Source organism: Homo sapiens, chromosome 6 (genome assembly GCF_000001405.40).
Source record: "Homo sapiens chromosome 6, GRCh38.p14 Primary Assembly".
NCBI classification, from domain to species: Eukaryota; Metazoa; Chordata; class Mammalia; order Primates; family Hominidae; genus Homo; species Homo sapiens.
Window position 1 is genome coordinate 110,530,583 of NC_000006.12, and position 25,213 is coordinate 110,555,795.

Here is a 25,213-nt window from a genome sequence, read left to right on the forward strand (position 1 = left end):
CCAGTGAATTCTTCTTGCCCACTGCCCAGATAAAGCCGACTTACCAAGGCAGGGGAATTGCAATAGAGGAAGAGTTTAATACACATAGAGCCAGCTACATAGGAGACCAAAGTTTTATTATTACTCAAATCAGCCTCCCAGAAAATTTGGAGGCTACGGTTTCTCAAGGAGAGTTTGGTGGTCAGGGGGCTAGGGAACAGGTGCTGCTGATTGGTTGGGGATGCACTCATTGGGGTGTGGAAAATGGTCCTCTTGCTCTGAGTCCACTTCTGGGTGGGGCCACAGGACTGGGTGAGTCATGAGTCTCGGGTCCAGGTGGAGTCATCCAGTCATCAGAAATACAAAAGTCTGGAAAAACATCTCAAAAGGGCTACAATAGTGAGGTTATTTATAGGAGTAATTGGGGAAGTTACAAATCTGGTGACCTCTGGAATGATGGCTGATAATCCTTTATGCCTACATCTTAGCAGAATTCAAATCCCTCTCATAATCCTAAACTTGTGAACTTTTATTAGTTTTATAAAGGCAGTTTCATTTTGGGAAGAGTTATTATCATTTAAACTATAAACTAAAATTCTCCCAAAGTTAGCTTGGCCCATGCCCAGGAATGACCAGGGCAGTTTGGAGGTTAAAGGCAAGACGAAGTTGGTCAGGTCAGATCTCTTTCACTGTCATAATTTTCTCACCATTATAAGTTTTGCAAAGGCAGTTTCTAACAAGCTTGCAGTGCTTCCCTGGTGTCACCTTGTAAGAATTCCCAAGTTCATCAGGTGTGGTGGCTCACGCCTGTAATCCCAGCACTTTTGGAGGCTGAGGTGGGAGGATCGCTTGAACCCAGGAGTTTGAGACAAGCTTGGGCAACATGGCGAAACCCCATCTCTACTAAAAATACAAAAATTACCTGGGTGTGGTGGTGCATTCCTGTCACCTGAGCTACTTGGGAAGCTGATGTGGGAGGGTCACCTGAGCCTGGGGAGCTAGAGGCTGCAGTGAGCTGTGAGCTGTGATTGTGACACTGCACTTCAGCCTGGATGGCAGAGTGAGTCCTTGTCTAAAAAAACAAAAAAAATTCCCAAGTCCTAGAAACTGGTTTAGAGGTGGCCCAGCCCATGGTGTGATGGATGGGTAAATGAAGGGGCTCATGTTCGTTAGGCAGGATTTGAATGTCTAAGATCTCAGGGAGATATAACCAGCCCCTGTGTCTTCTTAGTGAGGTATAAGAAGCTGTCTTTTCCAGAAATCACAGGTTAGACTATTCCCCCATATGTAAATCAATACAAGTTGATGATCTGAAAGAACAGAAATTGATTAAAAGGAGGCAGACTGCAGGCAAATAAAATCCCAGGAAAACCTGGTATAACATGTAACTTGATGGTGTTACCATTGTCTTATATAGTAGGAATTGCTATGGCAGCACACAGCACAAGAGTGCTGAAAAACATTTTGGCTGGTTCCTTTTGCAGGCTAGGGAGTGTTTTCACTCATGTGCAATATGTCCCTGAGCCCTGCTGATCTTGCTTGCTTGGGACCATGAGGATAATGAGCAATGGCAGTGTCCTCAGAGCACGTTCCAGGATGAGGGGATTGGAAAGCACTATCTTCTGAATTCCTAATAGAGGAAAGCAAACCAACGATGTTCAGGGCTCGAGAATAGAGAGCAATAACTACGTCTATATCTAATTCTGCCCATGCCATCTAGCCACAAACCATCAACACTTTGCACCTATAGAAGCTTCCTCTAGAGTGTCTTCTGTGAATACCTGTGTAGAGTTGGCCCAGAAGGATTCTGGCCTGGGACTAAATTCAGCCATCTATTCTGAGAGACCAAAGTCTGAATTCAAAACCAAAAACCAGAAACTGAAGAAAGGAAGAAAAAAACAACAACCCTTAGTCTCCTGAGAAACCTAGGGAAAGGGAGGAGGTGCATACAAATACCCAGGGCCACACCGAGAGAGGACTTAACTGGCCTGAGAAAAAATGTGCCATTGTAAGTGGAGAAGAAAACAGCTATTGTCTAACACTTAAATAAAAAATACTCTATAAACAGCTAACAGCTGTTTTTCAGCCTTTGCTTTTTAGAGCAAAAGCCAATAAAAGAGAAGACATGTGCTTTCAAATGTGGTTTTTGTTCAGAGCCCAGATTTTCTACAACTAATTTACAACCCAGAAGTAGACCCTGTTTCAGATAGTTTTGTTTTGAAGAATAGAGAAAACTACAAAGTTCAGTAGAATGCCACAGGCCCAGATGGAGGTTGAGCCAGACAGACTTTGCTGTACCAAGGAAAGACTTTGCTGACTTGATGGACAAGTCAGCGGTGATTTTAGTGTTAAAAGACAGAAACCAGAACTCTCAAACCCCACCTCAATAAGTGGACAATGAAAGGAAAAAACAGCAACTTTGCATGCAAAAGTAGGAAACAAGGTGCATCTCTCTGAGATGCTGTTGCTTGATTGATTTCAGCACCCTAGCTACCATGATCATCAAAGGAGTAAATAATACAGTCCTTACATTGTCCACATGTAAAAGCCACCTGATAAGACTATGAGGACTTTAATGGGCATCCATATTGTAAATAAGGAAATTATAGGGGACTCTCAAAAGGGATATTTGTATACAAAATTACTAGCTAAATTCTGCAATTATGAAGCCAGAAGGATAACAGTGAGGCAAGGCCCTTGTTATAAACAGAGACACAGAGATGATCCCATACTTATTCCCTCCTAGTGCCTCTGTTCATGCTGTTTCCTCCACCCTGAGTACCAGCTTCAGGCCCTTAAAGGAAATCCTACACTTACTCTGGGTATCAGTTCTTCACCCATCTCTACCTTTGTATTACATGTGAGGACATTTAGATGATACAGCTGTAGATATAGACATAGATAGACAGATGCAGACAGAGAAAGAGAGATAGAGCTTTGAAATGTGCTCTAGTTCTTTCCTATGTCTATGTCTTATTGTTTCTAAAATTTTGAAGTGTGGGCTACACCTACTTGTGCCTGTCTAATTCTTGCAGTTGTGTTCATATGCCTTGAACATTACGAACACACACCATCCATTCTCACTATTCTGACAAAACTGATCCTTTGAAGGCCTCCTGCTATAATTCTACTACATTCTGGATACAACATGTTTTTTAATGCGCAGCTGGGCTTGCAGCAATGGCAAACAAACTCTCCAAGCAAAGAAACAATGGCAGTGAGCTGAAATCCAGGAAAGAGCTAAAAGGTAAGTGTGGGACAAAATCTGACACTAAGCCCCAAGCCCATTACAAGGTGCAAAAGTCAACTTCAGGTCTCCCACTGTAAACCATGACCCCTGAAGGAGGCTCAACCAGTCCTCTGGGCCATGGAAGAAGCAAGTGACAACCTCTTCTGGAGTACATAACTTCAACTTAGGACCCCAAGACTCCCAGTGATCAAGCACAATGTGTTCAGGATCAAAGACCACCACCAAACAGCAAGAGAATAAGCCAGCATATGGAAAAGAAAGCAAAAATAATAAACAATAAATTTACACTCCCAAGACTTTGGTATTAGAATTATTAAATGCAAAATAGTGCATTTTAAATGCAAAATCATGCATACCAAGTGTTGTATAGGAAATATTTAAAGAAATCCAAGATGAGATCATAAATGTATGGAAGTAACCCAGATACTATGAAATATGACCAGGCAGATTTGAAAAAGAGCCAAGTAAAACATTTATAAATGAAAAATATAGTTGTTGACATTAAAAACTCAATGACCAAATTAAACAGTATATAAGAAACAACTGAAAAGAGAATTATTTAACTAATATATCTGAAGAAATTACCTGGAATATAACACAAAGAGACAGGAAGATAGAACATCAAAGAGGGGTCAAGACATAGAGGATAGAATAAGATTTAATATAATAGGAGTGGCAGAAAAGACTAGAGAAAATAGATGAAAAACCAATATTAAAAAAGATAATAAAAGAGAATTTCCAGAACTGATAAGAGATGAGTTCCCAGATATAGAAAGTTAAACTACCCTTGCAAAAATTACAACAGTGAGAAAGTTATGACAGTGAAAGAGATCTGACCTAACTGACTCCATCCTGCGTTTAACCTCCAACCTGCCCCTCTTCCTTCCTGGGCATAGGCTGAACTAACTTTGGGAGGAATTTAGTTTATAGTTTGAAACAAAGACGATAACAGCCCCTCCCTGAAACAAACCTCCTCCTTGTGTGGGGACCAAACTGCCTCTGTAAAACTAACAGATTAACCACAAGATTAGAAATTATGGCTTAGGAGTTATACAGCCAGAGGGCACCAGATTCCTAACCTTCTAATTGCTTTTGTGAATAACATCTAAGATTGGTGTTTGGAATATTTTTCAGACTCTGCACTCTGATGGATCCAGTGGCGCCACCCAGACCAGTAAACTGGCTCCTCTGGTCTTGTGGCCACCATCCAGGAGCTGACTCAGAGCAAGAGGACAGCCTGGACTCCCTGTGATTTCATCCTCAACCCAACCAATCAGCACTCCCCATTCCCTAGCCCCCTGCCTGCAAGACTGTGTTTCAGGGAGGCTAATGTGAGTAATAATAAAGCTTCAGTCTTCCATTTAGCCTGCTCTATGTGTATTAAACTCTTCCATTCAGCCAACTCTGCACGAATTAAACTCTTTCTCCATTGCAGTTCTCCTGTCTTGATAAATTGGCTCTATCTGGGCAGCAGGCAAGAAGAACTTACTGGGCAGTTACAGATGCACACCATATACCATGCAAGATAAAGCTTTTAAAATCCACACCCAGTCTGCAAAAGATAGTAATAAAATTGCAGAATGCTAAACTCAGAAAGATCTTAAAGCAGAAAAATGACAGATCATCTACAAAAATTATTAGCAACATACCTTTATACAGCAACAGAAACTAGACAATTGTGGAACAATATCTTCAAAGTGATAAGCGAAAATAAATGAGAATTGCATGTGCAGCAAAACTACTTTAAAAAAAAAATAGGGGAATAGATGGCCAGGCACGGTGGTGCTCGCCTGTAATCCCAGCACTATGGGAGTCTGAGGCAGGTGGATCATTTGAGGTAAGGAGTTCGATACCAGCCTGGCCAACTTGGTGAAACACCATCTCTACTAAAAATATACAAATTCACCAGGTGTGGTGGGCACCTGTAATCCCAGCTACTCAGGAGGCTGAGGCAGGAGAATCGCTTGAACCTGGGAGGTGGAGGTTGCACTGAGCCAAGATCACGCCATTGCACTCCAGCCTAGGCTACAGAGGGAGTCTCCGTCTCAAAAATAATAATAATAAATAGGGGAAAAGGTATACAAACTTATTTAGTGTGTACACATGGGAACCTTCAGAATGAAGACCCAACTTCTCAATGTGGTACAGCAGCTTACCTGCTATCTTGAGGTTACAGAAAGAATGGGGGCTTGAATCCGGATAGAATGGGTTATGGGAATGGGGAGGAGAATAATTGTATTGAGGGGCAATAAATGATCACCAGGGAAAATGGTTGGATCAGGGAGCAGAAATTAACTTGTAAGTAGTTCTTGGAATGTAAATGATCCTTAGAGACAGTCATTATCTCAAAAAGGTTCCGTTCAGGTGTGGTTACATTCTTGGTCTTCTTTCCTGTAATGGATAATGAGATAACGGAGGAGAACAAGAGCAATTGTTCTCCTCGGTGGATCATTCCTATCTTTATGTAGGTGGGAAAAGCCTCTTCTAGTGCTTGTTGATCTCTAAGGGTGTTGAATTCAACATACTCACTATACCAGGGAGCCATATTTTGGGGTGAAATATTTCAGTCATCACTTTGAAACTTAAAAAAATTCACATATTAAAAGACAAGCAGATAGCTTTGGAGAAATTTGTTTTAGAGCTTGTTAGAGATAGACAAAGAAATGGAAAGACAAATTGGAAGGAACAGAAAAGAGCAAATTTAAATATATCATCCTCGTATCTTCTTTAGTCAGTCTCTTAGTCCTGAGAATAGATCAGTTAAACAGCTGTGTCTCATTCTAGGAGGTGGCATTGCAGACAGGGTGGGCCACTATATATGATGCAGGCAAACAGATCTTTAATAGGAGGCATTTCTACAGAAACAGAAGGAAAGCAAAGGTGAATGTCCTGGAGCAGTTGATAGACTAGTTTTTCTAGAGTCTCTCAAGCATCTTCAGGTTGCAGTAGCAACCTGACAGATTTTTCTGGATTGTGGCTCGAATCGGGTGTTCAAGTGAACTTTCTGAGAAGTCCATACATCATCAGGCAGGCACAAAAGTTGTATATATATATATATTAATTACATATGTTGCTATTGTTTCTCCCGAAGTTTAAGTTGCTAGCTTCAGTTTATAGAGCTTTAAGAAAAGCACAGTTTTAATTTCTAGTGATTCCAAGTCAGAAAAATGGAAGAAAATTTTGAAAACAGTTGTTTGGAGACTCAGCAAAATTACTTTTAAGAATAAGTGTGAAATAAAGAATTTCCAGGTAAACATTATGTATGAACAAGAAAATGAACAATACAGGGGGTGCTATGCTTAAGCTTCTTTCTGGGCTTTATACCAGGAACACTTTTATGTGAAAAAGAAAAAGATTTAAGTATGAGATTAACATTTACTCCACTGAGTGACAAAGAAGGTTTTTTCATGTTCTCTGACTCTCTGGGAATTCAGGAAACAATTGAGTTATTGGTGGTTTAAAATGTCAGAGAGCAGTAATCACTTGCACAATGTGCTTCCCACTCTCAATTACTTCAGGCATTGTCTGATTTTGAGGCTATTCTTGAGAACTAAAATGTTTTTCTAGTGTATATTGTGTAGTTTCCACGTGCTCAGTATGACTAATGCATTAGTCACAGGTTACACTATGAGAGACTGAAGAAAAGACAGTCTTGATCTCTAGAACGACCTTGCTTCCCAAGTCTAAATTCCTCCTCTCCAACCAATGATTCCCCTCTGCCTCCACCTCTGAGACTGGTTCTTTTCCTGGCAGGAGATACTTACTGAGCAGGTATTTGCCAATTCTTGAAGCCTTTAGTTCAGTAAGAAATCTCCACCCTCCTTCTTATGCAGACATTCTCTCTGGATTCCTCACCCCTTTTCTGGTAATCTCTTGTCTATCGGTGGGAAAATATGTGAGCCCAACTGTTAGAGAATCGAGAAAGGAAGAAACAAGAGAAAAAATTAGGTGGGGTTGATGCAACTTGAACAAAAATATTTTGATCTGTGCTTTTTGTAATATGGAAAAGCATGAACCAACCCATGTATCCCACAATCAGGAACTAGCTTAGCAAATTTGAGCACGTGAAGAAAATGGAATATTATATTGCCTTGCCTGATGACAAATGCAAGGACTATGTGACCAGTGGCTACTTGGGGACTATAGGGCTATCAAACTGCTTACGTAAGCTAAAGTCAACTCATAAACTTAGAGTGCAGACTCAATTATGCACGCAGGTTACAAATACGGAAAAATCAGACAGATAGCCAAGAACTGAAAGAGAATATAGAATCTTCTAACTTAGTAAATTAATAGTGAAAGTGTTTTCATATTGTTTTTGTTGCTTCCATGTTTCTTGCAGTGTTTTTCATGTAAAGGGAGTTACATTTTTATTTTAAATGGTGGGCTGAAAAAATATGGTGAATGTACTAAACTCTGAACAGGAGACAAATCAGTAATTTCTACAAGAAAATTAACTATAACAAATTAGTAACAGGGGATTGAAGTGATGAAAGACTGGCTAGTAACCGGTAAAGAGAGCTCTAAAGAATATAGGAATAGCTGATACAGACAGCAGCTATCTCCCCTAGGACTGAGATAGAGCATTCAAGGAAGAGCTGAGATCCAGGCCTCATGGAAGAGGGTCTGGCCAGGGCTTTCAGGATGGGGGAAAAGTTCATGAGGGGCCTCACTGCTGAGGCTGTCCAGAAACCTGTCTCTGGAGTGCTTAGGAAGGCACCCACTGCAAAGCTGCCCAAGCGGGTGCCAGGGAAGCCATCCAAGGGGCGGTACCCCATTTTGTGCACCCTACTGCAAAGCTTCCTGAGGGGGATCTGGCAGAGGTCATTCACAGGGAGGTGCCCAGGGAAGCTGTCTGCAGGAAGGCATCTCAGGCTGCTGGCCACCTGGGGCTGCAGAGAAAGCTGTCCAGGCTGCAAGAGCCTGAGAAAGCAAGCCCCCTGGAACTAGGAAGAGCAGCCATTTTCTCTCACAATGTCCCTCCAGGACTTCCTGCTGACAAAGCCTAACCCTCATCATTCTCGAAGAGCGAGTAATGAAGGGTGAATTTGGAGCTGAGAGGCAACCAATTGATAATTGTCACAGTGAATTAAGCTGCTGGTGGAGCTTGGGCCATACATATGTTCATTCCAGGCTCAGAGCCCTGGATTTTCCTATCAGAAAGCCAAGCTCATGCAGAAAGCCTGAGCTAGTGATCAGACAGCCCAGCAAGCTGGTTCTTAACTTTCCTTGTGTGCAATATCTTATGAAAGCTCGCTGGCTTTCCATATGAGTCATTAGTATCATGTGCCAGGCCCTAAAATATATATACTTTACATATAATATATATGTTTATATATATTCTTTTTTAAAAATATCAACTGTTATTTTAGATACAGGGGGTACACATGCCAGTTTGTTACATGGGCACATTGCACCTAGTTTGTGAGCATAGTGCCTAATAGGTAGTTTTTCAACCCACATCCTGCTTCTTCCCTCCTCCCTCTAGTAGTCCACAGTGTCTGTTGTCCGCATGTTTATGACCATGTGTGCTCAATGTTTAGCTCCCACTTATAAGTGAGGACACGGGTATTTGTTTTTCTGTTCCAGCATTAATTCATTTAGGATTATGGCCTCCAGCTCCATCCACATTGCTGCAAAGGACATGTTTCATTCTTTTTTATGGCAGTATAGTATTCCACGGTGTATATGCACCACACTTTCTTTATCCAGTCCACTGCTGATGGGCACCTACATTGTTTCCATGTCTTTGCTACTGTGAAGAGTGCTGTGATGAACATACAGGTGCATGTGTCTTTTTGGTATAATGATCTGTTTTCCTTTGGGTAGATACCCAATAATGGGATCGCTGGGTCAAATGGTAGCTCTGTTTTAAGTTCTTTGAGAAATCTCCAAACTGCTTTCCACAGTGGCTGAACTAGTTTACATTCTCATCAACACTGTATAAGCACTCTCTTTTCTCCACAGCCTCACCAGCATCTGTTGTTTTTTACTGTTTCATAGAAGCCATTCTGACTGGTGTGAGATGGTATTTCACTGTGGTTTTGATTTGCATTTCTCTGATGATCAGTGATGATGAACTTTTTTCATATATTTGTTGGCTGCTTGTATGTCTTCTTTTGAGAAGTATCTGTTCATGTCCTTTGCCCATTTTTAATGGAGTTATTTGGTTTTTGCTTGTTGATTTAAGTTCTTTATAGATTCTGGATATTAGACCTTTGTCACATGCATAGTTTGAGAATATTTTGCAACCCATTCTGTAGGCTGTCTGTTTTACTCTGTTGATGGTTTCTTTTGCTGTGCAGAAGCTCTTTCATTTCATTAGGTCCCACTTGCCAATTTTTGTTTTTTGTTGCAATTGCTTTTAAGGGCTTAGCCAAAAATTATTTGTCAAGGTCAATGTTGAGAAGGGTATTTCCTAGGTTTTCTTCTAGGATTTTTATAACTTGAGGTCTTATATTTAAATCTTTAATCCATCTTGAGAAAACTTTTGTATACGGTGAAAGGTAAGGGTCTAGTTTTATTCTTCTGCATATGGCTAGCCAGCTATCCCAGCATCATTTATTGAATAGAAAGTCCTTTTTTTTTTTTTTTGGTCAGCCTTGTTGATCAGATGGTTGTAGGCACACAGCTTTGTTTCTGAGCTTTCTATTCTGTTCCATTGGTCTATGTGTCTGTTTTTGTGCTGGTATCATGCTGTTTTGGTTACTGTAGCCTTATAGTATAGTTTGAACTCAGGTAGAGTGATGCCTCTGGCTTTGTTCTTTTTACTTAGGATTGCTTTGGCTATTTGGTTCCATATGAATTTTAGAATAGTTTTTTCTAATTCTGTGAAGAATAACATGGTAATACGATAGGAATAGCTTTGAATCTGTAAATTGCTTTGGGCAGTAGGGGTATTTTAATGATACTGATTCTTCCAACCCATTTGCATGGAATGTTTTTCCATTTATTGGTGTCATCTCTGAGTTCTTTCAGCAGTGTTTTGTAGTTCTCCTTGTAGAGATCTTTACCTCCTTGGTTAGCTGTATTCCTAGGTATTTCATTTTGTTCATGGCTATTGTAAATAGGACTGTGTTTTTTATTTGACTCTCAGTCTAGATATTTTTAGTGTATAGAAATACTACTGATTTTTGTACATTAATTTTGTATCCTGAAATCATACTAGAATCATTGATCAGTTCTAGTAGCCTCTTGGCAGAGTCTTCAGGGTTTTCTAAGTATAGAATCATACAGTCAGTGAAGAGAGGTAGTTTGACTTGCTTTCCTATTTGGATGACTTTTATTTCTTTCTCTTGCCTTATTGCACTGGCTAGGTCTTTCTATATATATATTCTTATCTTCCCCAAGGCAGACTGAACCAAATGGGTCTTTCCATTCTTGTGATTTCAAACATGCTATATAACAGTACAAATATGCCTTTCAGGTATTAATATACTATGTTAAGGAAAATAATGAATAAAGAACACTGTAAAAATATTTAGTGTCTGCATAAATGCACATGTCATGGTTTTAAAGTTTCTGTCCCATACTCTTTGACAATGGAGTGATCAAGCACGTGGGCCCTCAGCTACTTACTGTGTGACCTTGGGCAAACTATGTACCCTTCTGTTCCTCAATTTCCTCGTCTGTAAAGTGGATATAATAATAACATTTACTTCACAGGATTGTTGGGAGGTTTAAATGAAGTAATATATGTAAAGCTGTTAGGACAGGGCCTAGAGAGAGTAAGCACTCCACATGTTAGGTATTTGTATTAATATTTGAGAATGTCAATACGCAGACCCTTCTGTGCCCAGACCCCTCTCGAGTCCCCTACAATCTCTGCCAGTCTCCTTCCTTAGAATGTTCACCTTCCTCACAAACTGTGTGGCTTCTAAACATTGTGTGCCTCCTAAGGGGCACCTGGGCATGGTGCCACCACCAAGCCATGCTGATAGCCCATCACTGGCCACGCAGGACACAGGCCCACTCTTCTATCATCAATGCTGAACAGAAAGGCTGAAAGCCAAAACAAGTAAACTGGCCTCCACACAACCGATCCAAACAGCCTGGGGCCTGGCAGTGCCAGGGGAAGAGCTTGAAAGGAAAAACAACCAAAAACAACACACAAGCTTATCTTTGTCATGGCTGACCCAGCTCACAGCCAGGCACGGAAACAGAGTGGCTTTATAAGAAAATGCCTTTCTTTCCACGCAGTAATTGAATCCAGTTGTGGCTTGAGGTTATACATTAGTGGGGTTTTAAAAAGGTTTGTCTCTTAGACAATTCTGCTCCAGCTGAGCAATCTTATATTTCTGTTAAATTCCTGTGAAGCAGCGTGCTAAATCATCCATCATATCATATAATCCTTTGGGATCTGACTCTCACACTCACCCAACAGATAAGCCAGGAATCCTTTAGGCTCTTTAAAAGCTAAACCTCTTGAGTGGAGTCCAGGACAACCCCTCTGGATACAGAATTCTGCTTTGCAGTAAATAGCATTTGGGGCAGTTCTAGGGCCGCTGAATTTTCAGAAGGCTTCAGGTTGACTTTAGCACCATTCCTCTTCAAGAGGGCTCTCTCTCCTTGTCCAATCAATACTCTTCTGGCGACCCCCTAAGGGGGAAGAGCTCAGCGGTGGCTAGGACAGGATGTTTCAGAGTCAGATTGGGTTGCATCTTGTCCCATGGCTATCACTGCCGGCTGACAGCACACTTCACTGCTAATGAAATGAAACAGTCCCTCTTCTAGCAACTGCCACCCACATCAGGACAGCAAGTCTTACACCACCAGTTGGAGTCCTGCCCTGGAGCCCTCAGGGGCACAGATTCAAAGGCCGTCGCCAGAAGCTCTTCACTAAAGCAGGCTTTTTACGAAGTTTTAATGACTTTGGTCATCCTGCAATGATAAAAAGATCCACATGGGCACTAGAGTGGGATATGGGTTGAATTAAGAAGAGTGAAGTGTCTTTTGTAGACATGAGTACGCACTCTGTGCACTGGACTCTGGTTGTGTGAAAGCTACAAAGAGTGTGCAGTCTCTCCTGTCCTCGGCACCTTATGTGCCTCTGTCCTCCAGCTTCTCCCTGGTTTCAAAACACTTTCACTCAGGGTGCTGGGCGGAAAGGAAATGGCACATATAGACACTTGGGAGAGTTTAGTAAAGACGCTATTTGCAAAGGTGTGAGCAGGGTATGGGGTTGGGGGCTGGGGGGAGGGCTCCACCCCTGGCCTGAGGGTGAAGGGAACAGGCACTAGATCCAGAGACAGCAGAGTGGGAACTAACAGGAATCGTGACACAGCCGACAGGGTGACCCCACAGCGAGGTGCAGGGGAATCCAGCCCCTGCAGCTTCAACCTCTGCTCTCCTGGGGGGGGCTCCCTAGCCACAGCCCACCAGAAGCCAGAGGGCAATGGGGCCTGTGGATGGCGCCATACGAGTCAGCCTCTGCCCTGCTCATGCCAGCTCTCCCCTGGCACTGCCAGGCCCCAAGCTGTCTGGTTTGGTTATAGGGGAACCAGTTTGCTTGTTTTGGCTTTGGGCCATTTTGCCCAGGGCATGAGCAGAGCAGAGGCTGGATCTGGAAGAGCCAGTGGGAGGCACGCAGCATACACACCACACCTGGAGACGTCTAGAACTCAGGGACTAGGTTTTACTCATCTTTATATTCTAGAGCCTGGTGCATAATGGCACATGATGTATTTTTTTCAGAACAAATGTTAGAAAGAAAGAATGAATGAAAGCGTACATACATACGTGGACATGTAGCAGCACCAGGTGGCAGGTGAGGAAGTTCCAGAGGCGATACTATTGCACAGGAAGGAAACTGTCACGGGAGAGAGAACTCTGTGGCCTGGAGCAAGTGGAAGTGGCTCTATGGGGGAAGAAGGAAAGTTCGTTCTTAAAGGAGTGTGTGGTAGGTCAGCAGAGAGGGCATTCCAGGTGGAGGAAGCAGGAGCATGGAGGCAGGAGTGGGTGCCGTGTGTCCAGGAAACAACAGTGCAGTGTGGTCAGAGTGGGAGGTTCATGCAGAGACCAGGAGGTATTAGGGGGAGCAGAATACAGAAGGGTCTGGGTGGTGGCCAAGGAGTCCAGGATGTCCCCTGAATATGGTGGGCAAGCACTGGGACCCAGGCAACGGAGCAGCTGAGGGCAGGCCAGGAGGTACAAAGACCAGAGGTTCCAGATAAGGACTCTTGGGCAAGCCAGCTCGAGAAAGAAGGGCAGAGGTGCATGAAGTGAGAAAGAAGCAAAGGACTCAGTGCCTCGCTGGCCCGGGGAAGATGGAAGAGAAAGGCAGGCACCAGGACCAGTGAGGCTGGGTCTGGGTGGCTGGGAAGTGACAGTGTTGGCAGCGCAGAACCCTGCTGCAGTCTCTCCCAGGGCCACCCTGCCCAGCAGTCTCCCCTAGGGCTGCCAGACAACAGCACACAAGAGGACTGGAGCGGCTCCTGGAGGTTCTTACACCTTGAAAGTCCCCAAGGAAAAATGTTTCCCAGGCACAGGAGGGAGGGCAGCTATGTCAGCTCTCCCTAGACCAAGATCCCTCACCTCCTTTGGTCCTCAAAAATAGAACCTCAGGTCTGGCTTGGAGGAGGATCTCAGCCAGAGCAACACCTATCTCCACCCAGGCAGAGTCAGGGGGAAGACAGGGATCGCCATTCCTCAGGTGCCTGGCCCTGAGGTCCCCTGTGCAGTCCAGTCTCCCTGGTTGCTGAGAGCTGACACCTCATGACCCTTAGAAGGGTTGGGACAATCCCCATCAGCAGCTCAAATGCACAGCAGTTATCAGAGGGAGGTCTCCCTGGCACCCTGCCCTTTGCCACATGCTGCCCTGCTCGGTCACAGGCCCCCCGTCACCTGGTCTGTGTGCCAGGGCAGGAGTGGGACTCCAGGGAGGAGCTCCCCTTGCAAGCCCTGGGCCCCGCTGGCGCCAATGTCCCAGCTTAAAAAATGAAAGTAAAAGAGAAAGATATCAGTACGAAAATATTTGTTGACTTTCTATCTTCTGGGGTAAAAGTGTGAGAAAAAAATTTAAAAAGAAATAAAATATCTGTGGATTTTCTAAAACCCACTGGGAACGAGACAGGAAAAAAATGAAGACAAAGTTATCACTATGAGAGAAATACTGTCCTGTGAATTTAAGCCCCAAGTGAATAAACTCATAATAAATGATTGTGTTGGCCCCGGGTGGGGTGTGGAAAATGAGAAGCCTGAGACACAGCCCCACTGCTCAGGACCTCAGACTGTGGCCAAGCTCCCCACCCCTGTTAGATTCCTAGGGCTGCTTTAACAAATCACCACAACAAATATGGTGGCTGCAGACCACAGAAATACACTCTCCCACGGTTCTGAGAGGGCAGAGGTCTGAAATCAAGGCGTCAGCTGTGCCATGCTTCCTCCAAAGGCTCTAGGGGAGAATCCTTCCTGTCCTTTCCAGCTTTTGGTGATACCCAGCTTTCCTTGGCTTGTGGCTGCATCGCTGCCAACTTTGCCTTTATCTTCACATGGGCTCCTCCTATTCTCTCTGTCTTCTCCTCTTCTGCCCTTTATAAGGACACTTGTCATTGGATTCAGGACCCACCTGGATAATCCAGATGATCTCATCTCAAGATCCTTATGAATTACCTCTGCAAAGATCCTCTTTCTAAATAAGGTCACATCCACAGTTCCAGGAGCTAGGACGTGGACGTACCTTTTTGGGGGCCATCACTTACCCACCACCTGGCCCCCATCTTCAGTCTCACCTTCACCGTGTTGTTTCTAGGTTGAGTTGTTTCCAGGTTGAGTTGAGTGTGAGACTCCACAATGAAGGCGGGAACAAAGGTAGGGGGCAGCTGGTGGGTAAGCGATGGCCCCCAGAAAGATAAACAAGTTGCCTCATCGAAACAAACGAAAAAACAAGTTCTTTCTTTCCTGTTACCCGTTAAGCTGAGTCACTCATGCTTTCCCTCCTTCACTTAGCTATCACATTTCTCCAAAGTGTGGTTTGTATCAATACTTCTGTTTTTGACCTACCACTTACTTTTCAAAGCAATTTATTATGTTTTAAGCATACAGAAACATGTAGAGAACAATATGATTTTTTTAAATGTTAATGTTTTTCTCTCATTTACTCATTTATAGAGAAATATAACATAGAATTTTCCATTTTAATCATTTTGAAATGTATGGTTCCATTAATGATTCCCACTCACTTTTAAATGTTTGGAATTGAGAGAACTCTTACTGGACAGGGATGAGGGTAAAAGCCAAAGTCTGCCAGTGTCCATCCTCAACCTTCTCAGCCCTTTACTAAATCAGATACTGCTAACCACACCACTCTTTTTTTTTTTTTCCTGAGACAAGGTCTCATTATGTCACCCAAGCTGGAGTGCAGTGGTATGATGGCTCACTGCAGCCTCGACCTCCTGGGCTCAAGCAAGCCTCTTGCCTCAGTCTCCTGAGTAGCTGGGACTACAGGTGCCCACCACTGCCCCAGATAACTTTTTTTTTTTTTTTTTTTTTTTTTTTTTTGTAGAAATGTGGTCTCAGTATCTTGCTCAGGCTGGTCTTGGACTCCTGGCCTCAAGTGATCCCCCTGTGCCTTGGCCTCCCAAAGTGTTGAGATTACAGCCACCACACCTGGCCCACCCTTTTCTTAAAACTCCTCCCTCAGCTTCGCAGATCTCTGTCCTTTCCTTTCTCTACTATTTCTCTAGCCCCCTTCCTCTACTATTTCTCTAGCCCCCTTCCTCCTCATCTTCCTGGACTTGTCTGAGTTCCACTGAAGGCTGGACTTGTCTCTGAATCCACATTTGTATTTCCAACTGTCTTCTACGCATCCCTACAAAGATGTCCTATTGAAACCTCAAACTCAGTATGTTCAAAAGTGGACCCATGATCCCTTCTTTCAACACTTGTGCTTCCTCCACGTTCGCCCCAATCTGTACACAGCACCACCACCCATGCAGTCACCCAGTGCAGCACCATCTTGTCCTTCGTTATCCACTCTGACCCATAACTTCCATCTCTATAGTAGCTTCTCCCTCCTGACGTCTTTTCCATTCTGACTCTTGATGCTAACGCCTGCCTTCCAGTGTCAGCCTGGGACTCTATAGTAGACATCTCACAGGCTTGCCTATGTCCACCCTCTGTTTCTGTTCTATTTCCTATATTGTTAATAAATTGTTCTCCCTAAAACAGTTCTGGCCAGGCACAGTGGCTCACACCTATAATCCCAGCACTTTGGGAGGCTGAGGTGGGTGGATCACTTGAGCCCAGGAGCTCAAGACCAGCCTGGACAACATGGCGAAACCCCCTTTTCTACAAAAAAAAAAAAAAAAAAGTACAAAAATAAGCCAGACTTGGTGGCATGCACCTGTGACCCCAGCTACTCGGGAGGCTGGGGTGGGAAGATGGATGGCTTAAGCCCAGGAGGCAGAGATCGCAGTAAGCTGAGATCGTACCACCGCACTCCAGCCTGGGCAACTGAGAGAGACTCTGTCTCAAACAAACAAACAAACAAACAGACAGACAAACAAACAGAAAACACAATTCTGATACATCTAGTCAAAAACCTTCATTAACTCCCACTACTTTGAGAATAAAGCCTGAACTCCATGGCTGAACCTTCAATGCTCCCTGAGGTGGCCCTGTCCCTCCACCCCCATGCCACATTTCCTTTGCTCCAGTCAAACAGCCATGCTGCCTTTTCTCTGCACACATCCCAGGCTTCCCTCCTTACCTGTCCCCATGCAGAGTGTGAGTTTCACATTATTCTAAAAGACCTCTTTTCTTTCTGTTAAAATAAGCATAACAAAATAAGAGATACTGACTGAACAGAAGACTGTCAAATTCCACAAACTGGAATCATCCACCTCTTATTTCCTGTACCAAATAAAAAACACATCCCAGATTCTTCTTCTGTGACAGGGTTACAAACAGAGCTTTGTATGCTCATGGAATTCACCAGCTAAGAGTGGAACCATCGCCTTTTGAAGACTCAAACATTTTCTTGGTGACTCACCTGTGGGGGAATGCATCAACCTTCCTGCTTCTAATTTCTTTGACAGAAAAGGGGCTCTGGTAGCAAACACTATCACTTCAAACTTGAAATCTTGTGAATGAGGTTTCTAGGATGTCCAATAGTGCTAAAGATGTGATGCAAAAATTAAATGGAAACTTCAGCCTGCAGAAATGATGGGAGACACAAAGAGGATAGACTCTCAGGTGTTTCACTGCATGTTTATTTCTTGTACATTTCAGTTCCCAAGCCCTAGGCTTTACCAGGAGATGACATCAGAATGCTTTTAAGAAGCCCCTACATCTCACCAGTTCAGCCACACCAAAAGGAATGAATTCTTTGGAAAACCTAGGTGTGGCATCCTTTCATCCATTTGGAAAGACCTAAGTAGTATATCTTTGTGTCTATATAATAGCTGAAGTTTTAGATTCTTCTTTTGGATCCTTTTTCCACTTAGTGCTATTTCTGTCCCTGCAGTCGCTGAGATGTTCAAAAGCAGCTGAAGCTGCAGCTTTTGAAGCAGCAGGAGCACTCTGGGCACTCAAAGCCCTCAGAAATTCAGCCAAACACAAGTTAGGGAATTTTAGGTTTTCTTAGCCAAGAAGGGCACTCCGGTACATACAACCTGGGCTTGACCACTTGGTGGGCACTACTAGTGCTGTCACTGTTGGAAGGTTATACAATCTCTCTCAGCCTCTTTTTCCTCCTTTGGAAATGAAGAGTACTAAGATTGCTTTGTAGAGTTGTTGTAAGGATTAAAAATAACAACACATCAAGAGCCTAGCTCAGGATCTGGCACTGAAAAGGTTCTCAGTTAATAGTAAAATTGTTTATTTATTTATTTATTTATTTATTTATTTATTTATTTATTCATCTATTTATTTTATTTTTTTGAGATGGAGTCCCACTCACTCTGTCGCCAGGCTGGAGTGCAGTGGCAGAATCTTGGCTCACTGCAACCTCTGCTTCCCAGTTTCAAATGATTCTCTTGCCTCAGCCTCCTGAATAGCTGGGATTACAGAAGTGCTCCACCAAGCCCAGTTAATTTTTGTATTTTTAGTAGAAATGGGGTTTCAGCATGTTGGCCAGGCTGGTCTCAAACTCCTGACCTCAAGTGATCCTTCCACCTCGGCATCCCAAAGTGCTGGGATTACAGATGTGAGCCACCACACCCGGCCATAAAATTATTTTTAACACTGTAAATTTTGGGTGAAAAGGAAGACTAGGTTGTCCTTCCTTAAGAATCCCTTGTGTATATATAAGATATAAGGGATTTTTCTTTAAAGAAAAATAACCCGTCTATTAGTTAATGTATACCCTTCAGATTTGTGTCCTGGGAACACACGTTTGCAGTTGATCTATTTTAACACTCTTAAATTTTTAATATTATTTTCCGTCATTTCTTAGGTATGACACTGACAATTCTTACATTTAAAAGCAAAATCTTCACGTTTGTCATATCCTTCCATAGGCAAGGAGAGTTTCACTGTCTATGGGAGATGAATGCCTCAAGGATATTCCCACTATTCCCAGAACAGAGCTCGACCTTCATCCAAGGGCCCTCCTCTGCCCCCACTTTTACTTCCTGTGGGCTGGGTGAGGCTTCATCCCAACTCCAGGGATCCACCAGGTGGCCCAGATGAGGCCACAGTGAAGATCGGGCATAGTCATTGGTTCAGAGATGGGCATGTGACCTACACCAAGCCAATCAGAGAGTCCCTAGGGCATTGTGGGAGCCACTAGAAAAGACCTTCACTCTTCCCTGCAGGACACAAACCTGAGAGGGCAGGAAGTCCACGCTGCCACCACGGGGTCACCACAGGGAGCCTGGTGGGGACACAGGTAGGAAGGCAGGCCAAGCAGTGAGCGACATTCAATGAGGGACATTCAATGGAACAGAATGAGGTTTGAGCACTGGAGGAAAAATCCAGAGTTGAAATAGCAGAAGGGGCAAAGGGTGAAGGAATTAAAGGATGAAAGAGAAGACCAGGGGAAGAGGAGCCTGAGAACGGAGGGAAGGATTAAACAGGGAAACCGAAGGAGGCAAAGGAGAGGAGCAGCCTCCCGAGCCTCCCCTGAGGCCCAGCTCCTCCCATGCCTCCACCTCCTTCTCAAGGTCCTCCTCCTCCACCACTACTAGCTAGAAATTCAGCTACTAGAGTTTAAAAACTTGCAACTTCCCTGGTATAGCTTCCTTTTGGGAAGTTATTCGAAGGAATTATAAATTATGCACAAAAAATTATGAGTAAAGGTGTTCATCACACCTTATTTAAGATAACAGAAAGTTGTAAACAATATAAATGTCCCACATATGCGTATGGAATATTAATCCATTTTGTTTGTATATACATATATATATGTATATATATAAATATTTCATACTCGATCTTAGAGGAAATACACAAAAATGTTATTAACAGTGGCTGTTTGGTAGTGAGATTATGAGAAGTATTTGTTTATTTATTTGCTTATTTGTACATTCTACCTGATTGTATAACGAACATGTATTATTTGCAGAGTAAAAAGAATAGAAAATAACCAAATGTCAAGACTGCAACTGGGGTGGAGCCAAGCTGCTGCGGATGTTGCCAAGGGCCCTTCCCGGGAGAGCCAGGTGGGGTACCCACATGCCACCTTCTCCTCAGGTGGAGCCACCGCCTGTGGCCTCCTGTGGGGCCAGCCTGGACTGCAGCTGCCAGGACCTAGTGATGGCCCCAAACCTGAGAGTGGGCCCAGAGTCCCACCCCGCTAACCATGCTGAAAAAGGCCACAGGGCACATGAAGCCTTTGCTCCCTGGATCAGGTCACGCTCTCCAGTTTTCCTTCCAGGAGGACAGGCCATGCACTAAAAAACAGCTGCAGAGGAAAGGCTGGACCAGGTGTGCTGGGAGTCACCAGGAGCAAGGTGGTGAAGGTGAGTTTTCTCCTGAGCCCCTCCTGGGACTCATTAGCACCTCACCATCTGCTGGGAACCATCTTTACAAATGTAATTGTGCCTGTTGGGGGAAGACAGGTTTTTTGTTCTTTTGTTTTGTTTTTTTTTGTTTGTTTGTTTTCTTAAAGACAGAAAAGGCTTTTTCATTTTCTGAAGCCCTTTCAAATGTGCTCAACCTTATCCAGAGGGTAGCAGATCTGTTAATTACATCTTGGGCGGGTCCAAAATTTTACCACTGTTTTCAGGTATTAACCCTCAGTCCACTTTAAAACATTAATTCCAAACGATTCTACTCTCACCTCATCTCCCAGCGCCACTGCCCTCTCCCGGTCCAGTGCAAGCTTGGACCTGGACCCTGAATGAGGGAGGTCTATTTCTGGGACACTCCTCCACTCTCGCTTTCCGCTTTGGGAAATAGTTCCTCTAGTGCGCTGGGCTGAGAGGTAGGACAGAGAAAGGGCAGAGGGTCGTAAACTAACAGGGCAGCGGTAGCCTTCTCTCTAGTGGTAGCCTTCTCTCTAGTGGTAGCCTTCTCTCTAGCGGTGTCCCACTGGGACTGGCTGTGAGGCAGGCATCGACGTGCTAGCCTTCTCTGGAAGACACATCTGGGTTCTTTTAGAGAGACTTGCAGGGCACGGATATGGTAAATCCAGGCTCAACCACCTCCATGCCCCTCAACTCCCATGACTGGATATGTACTCTACGGACTCTTTGAGCTCCCCGGTAAATAGGAGAGAGAACCCTGTTGGGGTAGGGATGGAACAAATCCAGCTGCCTTCTAAGTAGCATCCACTTGAACTGCAGGAAATGCGTTTTCTGGCCCTGACCAACTGGGTGAGTTCAGACTGCCCCTGCAGCTCTTCTTTGTGCCCTTTCTTCTTTCTCCAAGACCCTCCTCTATCCCTAATGATGTATGAATAAGCCAGCAAATCCTTTTCCTAATCAAATGTCCAACAGGGGAGCTACTTTACATTCCAATATTTGTGGAATCATTTTATTAGAACCTTACTAGGGAGGAAAGCACAGCCACCCCATTTCCCATAACCACAGGAAGGGCAGGAAGTCCCCTCTCCTCACACGTCCTGTGCTCCAGTGACCCTTAGACTTATTTCTCTCTCTCCCTCCTTCCCAGTCTTACTGGGTAGAAGGTGGAGTTGGCGGTAACACAGCCACATATGTCACCTCTTAGGAATCCTTGGTTCTCAGCTCTGGTGGGTGTCAGCTCAGGCAAAGAGTACTTCTCTGTCCTCACTTTTGGGTCCTGGAAGCCTCCACAGAAAGACTCCCCATTCATAGCTTGTTGCATGTTTAGAGTAGTTGAAGTTCCACTTCCAGAACTCTTCATTCTTTTTGTAGAGCCAGAATTTTATCTGGTATCATTGTCCTTCTGCTTGAAGGACATCCCTTAACATTTCTTATAGTATAGGTCCTCAGAGGATCATTTTTTAAGCTTTTGTATGTTTGAAAAAGTATTTTGCATTTGTTTTTGAAAGACATTTTTGCTGGGTATAGAATTAGTGGCCATTTCATGTGAAAGACAAAAAAAAAAAAACACCCAAAAACCTAGAATTCTAGGTTGACAATATTTTTCTCTGATTACTTTAAAGATTATTGTTCCTCTGTCTTCTCACTTGCTTGCTTCTGACATGAACTCTGCTGCCATTCTTATCTTTGTTCTCCTGTTTCTAACATAATTTTTTTCCTGTTGTTAATTTTAAGATTTTCTCTTTATCACTGGTATTGAGCAATTTGATTATGATGTGTCTTGTTATAATTTCCTTCATGTTTCTCTTGCTTGAATTTTATCTTGCTGAGTGCTGGATATTCTTTTTCTTTTTATTTTTTTGAGACGGAGTCTCACTTTGTCTCCCAGGCTGGAGTTCAGTGGCGTAATCTCAGCTCAGTATAACCTCTTCCTCCCAGGTTCAAACGATTCTCCTGCCTCAGCCTCCTGAGTAACTGGGACTACAGCACCTCCCCCACCACACCTGGCTAATTTTTGTATTTTTAGAAGACACAGAGTTTCACCATGTTTGAGGCCAGTCTGGTCTCAAAATCCTAACCTCAAGTGATCCACCTTCCTCGGTCTCCCAAAGTGCTGGGATTATAGGTGTGAGCCACCATGCCTGGCCTGGATATTCTTTAAAAAACAAACAAACACACAAAAAAACTTTTGAGTGTTGTTCTAGAACACAGTTAATTTACTTGAAAACAGTTCGATCCTTTCATGACTTGTTTTTTGTTTGTTTGTTTGTTTTGTTTTTTAGATGGAGTTTCCCTCTTGTTGCCCAGGCTGGACAGCGATGCGCGATCTCCATTCACTGCAACCTCTGCCTCCTAGGTTCAAGCGATTCTCCTGCCGCAGCCTCGCGAGTAGCTGGGATTACTGGCCTGTGCCACCACGCCCGACTAATTTTGTGTTTTTAGTAGAGACAGGGTTTCTCCATGTTGGTCAGGCTTGTCTCAAACTCCCGACCTCAGATGATCTACCCACCTCGGCCTCCCAAAGTGCTGGGATTACAGGGTTGACACACCGTGCCCGGCCTTTTTTTTTAAAAAAAAAAAAAAAAAAAAAAGATACAGAATCTCACTATGTTGCCCAGGCTGGTCTTGAACTCCTGGCTTGAACAGTCGTCATGCTGCCTCAGCCCTCACCCTCCTGGATAGCTGGGACTGCAGGCACGCACCACCGTGCCAGCCAAGACTTGCTTTTAAGCCTTGTCAGGAGGGACCACAGGAGACTTTAGAGTAAGCTGAATTGGGCTGCATTACTGAGACAATACTCAGAGTGTTCTACTCAGTGCCCGATGAATTAGAAGGTTTTCAACTGTGGTTGGTGGCCACAGGGGCTATTCTCTGGCTGGTGGGAGCTCTAGGAATGGTTCCCTCTAATCTTTTTGGGTGATTCTTTTTCTGGCCTCATTTCTTTTCCTCACATGCATGTGCTGATCAATACTTTGCTGAAGACCCAAAGATGACACTCTGCAGAGCCCAGAGTTCTCTCCGTGTGCAGCTTTCTTCTCTCCAGTATTCTCTCCTGTGAGTTCTAGGTGCACAAGTGTCCCTGGGACCCCAGCCCCATCCTTCTACACAGGGATATGGCTGTGCTCCACCTGTATTCCATGTCCCTGTTCCATGGCCTGGAAAGTCTCTCCAGGCAGCAAGCTGGGGCAATCACAGGACTCACCTCACTTGTTTCCTGTGCCACCTGTGCTCCAATGTCTGAAAATCGTTGGTTCGAACATTTGGTCTGTTTTTTTACTTGTTTCAGAACCTTAGTTTTAGTGTGCATTTCCTGGAATTCCTGGAATTGTGGATGTTAGCTCTGAGCTTGGCTTTAAAAATCATCTAATTGTATACCTTCCATTTGCCAGTGAAGAAACTGAGATAGGAGAAGGGATGGTGCCTGAGTCTGCGGCAGACCCTGAACTGGGCCACATCTCCCAACTTGAGATTGAAGTCGCTTTGAAAGCAGTGAGTGCCTGGGAGAAAAGAAGGAGCTTGGGGAACTTCAAGTCAAGACTCTTTTGGGTCAGAGATTAAGGAGGCTCTGTTGCTGCCTGTGTCTCACTGTCTTCTTCATTCCAACATCTGCCATGTTTTGTGCAATAATGTTGGCCTCTTGCCTCAATTTCTGCATTGATAATGTAGAGGCTTCCATTCCCTCTGATGCCTTCTACTAAGTCAGTCCCACAATAATTGAAGGATATCATGGAATCTCAGCACCAAGAAGAGGTAGATAGCAGAGCTAGGGTTTGAGCTGAAGCCTCAAGGACCTCCCAAGGGAGCCTGAAGATCATCAGAACCAAGCTATCATTTTATAGAAAAGGAAACTAAAACCTGGGCAGGTTCACTGGTACACTCAGGCAGGCTAAGATCTGGGTGATGCACCTAGACACTCATCTCTGAAAGATACTGGGCTTAAGTCTTACCCAGTCAGCTCTTAAGGGTTTGTATTTTTAATGTATGTTCAGCTCACTGCATCCTTTGCCCGCAAGAACCACTCCAAACCCAATGGAACTCGATATCAGCTTTTCCATGTGTTTTTTGTCCATGTTATCTGAACACTTTTAACAGTTGCTTTGCTTGTTCACCCACACAGTGGGTGAGACTTCCCAACAGGAGCCTGGGGTCACTATGAGGGGAAGTTTTTAGAGAGGAGGGCCAAATGTCAGAGAAGGAGGAAGAAGAAGGAAGGAAGCAATGAAAGCAATAAACCTATTTCTCAGGTCATTTTAAAAACTTCTACTCTGGGACATTGAGCAGATAGTATCTATTTTTCTTTGCTTTGGGTATTTTTAAAGACACTGCCCCTCCCCATTTACTTTAATACAATACTAAGCACACATTTCTCAGCACGTAACAAGTCAGGATGTTCCAGGTTTTGATGCACGGGTCAAACTTTGCTTTGCCTTGTTGACCAGCCTTGTTGACAATAGGGCCTTTCATTGCAGGAGCACATGAATCCGGGCAACGTGACTTAAGAGCTGGCTGATGTTCCAGGACAGCACAAAAGAACGGAACTTGTTTTCATGCTATGAGTGCGCAAACCAATGGGCAGTTTTTGGGGTTACTCGTGATTGCTCCTCGGTCCAGAGTTCAGGCAGCAATCTGAGCCACTCAACTGCTCTTCTTTACCCCTCTACCTCTGCAGTTCATTGGGGGACAGAGCTGGGCCAGGATCCTGGGACAGAAGGAGGAGGCGGGCCCAGGAAAGTCCACTTGGGGTAACACACAATTTGTACATAAAAAAGAAATGTTCACCTCTTTGTATGTACCGTAGTAATTATTTCACCTTCTTTTATGAACTTGCACATTTTCAGAGAGAGTTAAATTAAGCAGAGTCTGAAAGTGGAGAATTCTCACATAGATAAAAGAATGGGGACCTGAAATTGGGTCATCAGGAAGTGTCTTGTGGCAAAATACACTTAGTATCGAACTGAAGGAAGAAATATTTCAAACATTTTCTTTAAGGAAAACTTAATGGATGTGACTTAATATTGTCTAGACTGACCTAGCAGCACAAGGTGGTGCGTTCAAGGACTTTTCATCTCAATCCACA

General features: G+C 43.8%; 2 long non-coding RNA genes across 5 annotated transcripts; one reads left to right on the forward strand and one right to left on the reverse strand.

The window, feature by feature from the left end:
- Window positions 1–99: 99 nt before the first annotated feature.
- LOC105377940 (uncharacterized) lies at window positions 100–18,819 on the reverse strand. Its single transcript, XR_007059703.1, has 7 exons — window positions 18,646–18,819; window positions 17,220–17,381; window positions 16,938–16,991; window positions 12,968–13,085; window positions 11,606–12,109; window positions 6,994–7,134; window positions 100–360 (listed from the first exon to the last, which is right to left on the reverse strand). It is a non-coding gene; the product is annotated as an uncharacterized LOC105377940 (long non-coding RNA).
- A 161-nt stretch (window positions 18,820–18,980) lies between these two features.
- On the forward strand, window positions 18,981–24,927 carry LOC105377939 (uncharacterized). Of its 4 annotated transcripts, XR_007059704.1 has the most exons (4): window positions 18,981–19,058; window positions 19,734–20,130; window positions 24,606–24,692; window positions 24,806–24,927. It is a non-coding gene; the product is annotated as an uncharacterized LOC105377939 (long non-coding RNA). The 4 variants fall into 4 exon arrangements; XR_942862.3 differs by having other exon boundaries at window positions 24,606–24,927; XR_001744293.1 differs by lacking the exons at window positions 24,606–24,692; window positions 24,806–24,927 and adding an exon at window positions 22,419–22,460.
- The last annotated feature ends 286 nt before the right edge of the window (window positions 24,928–25,213 follow it).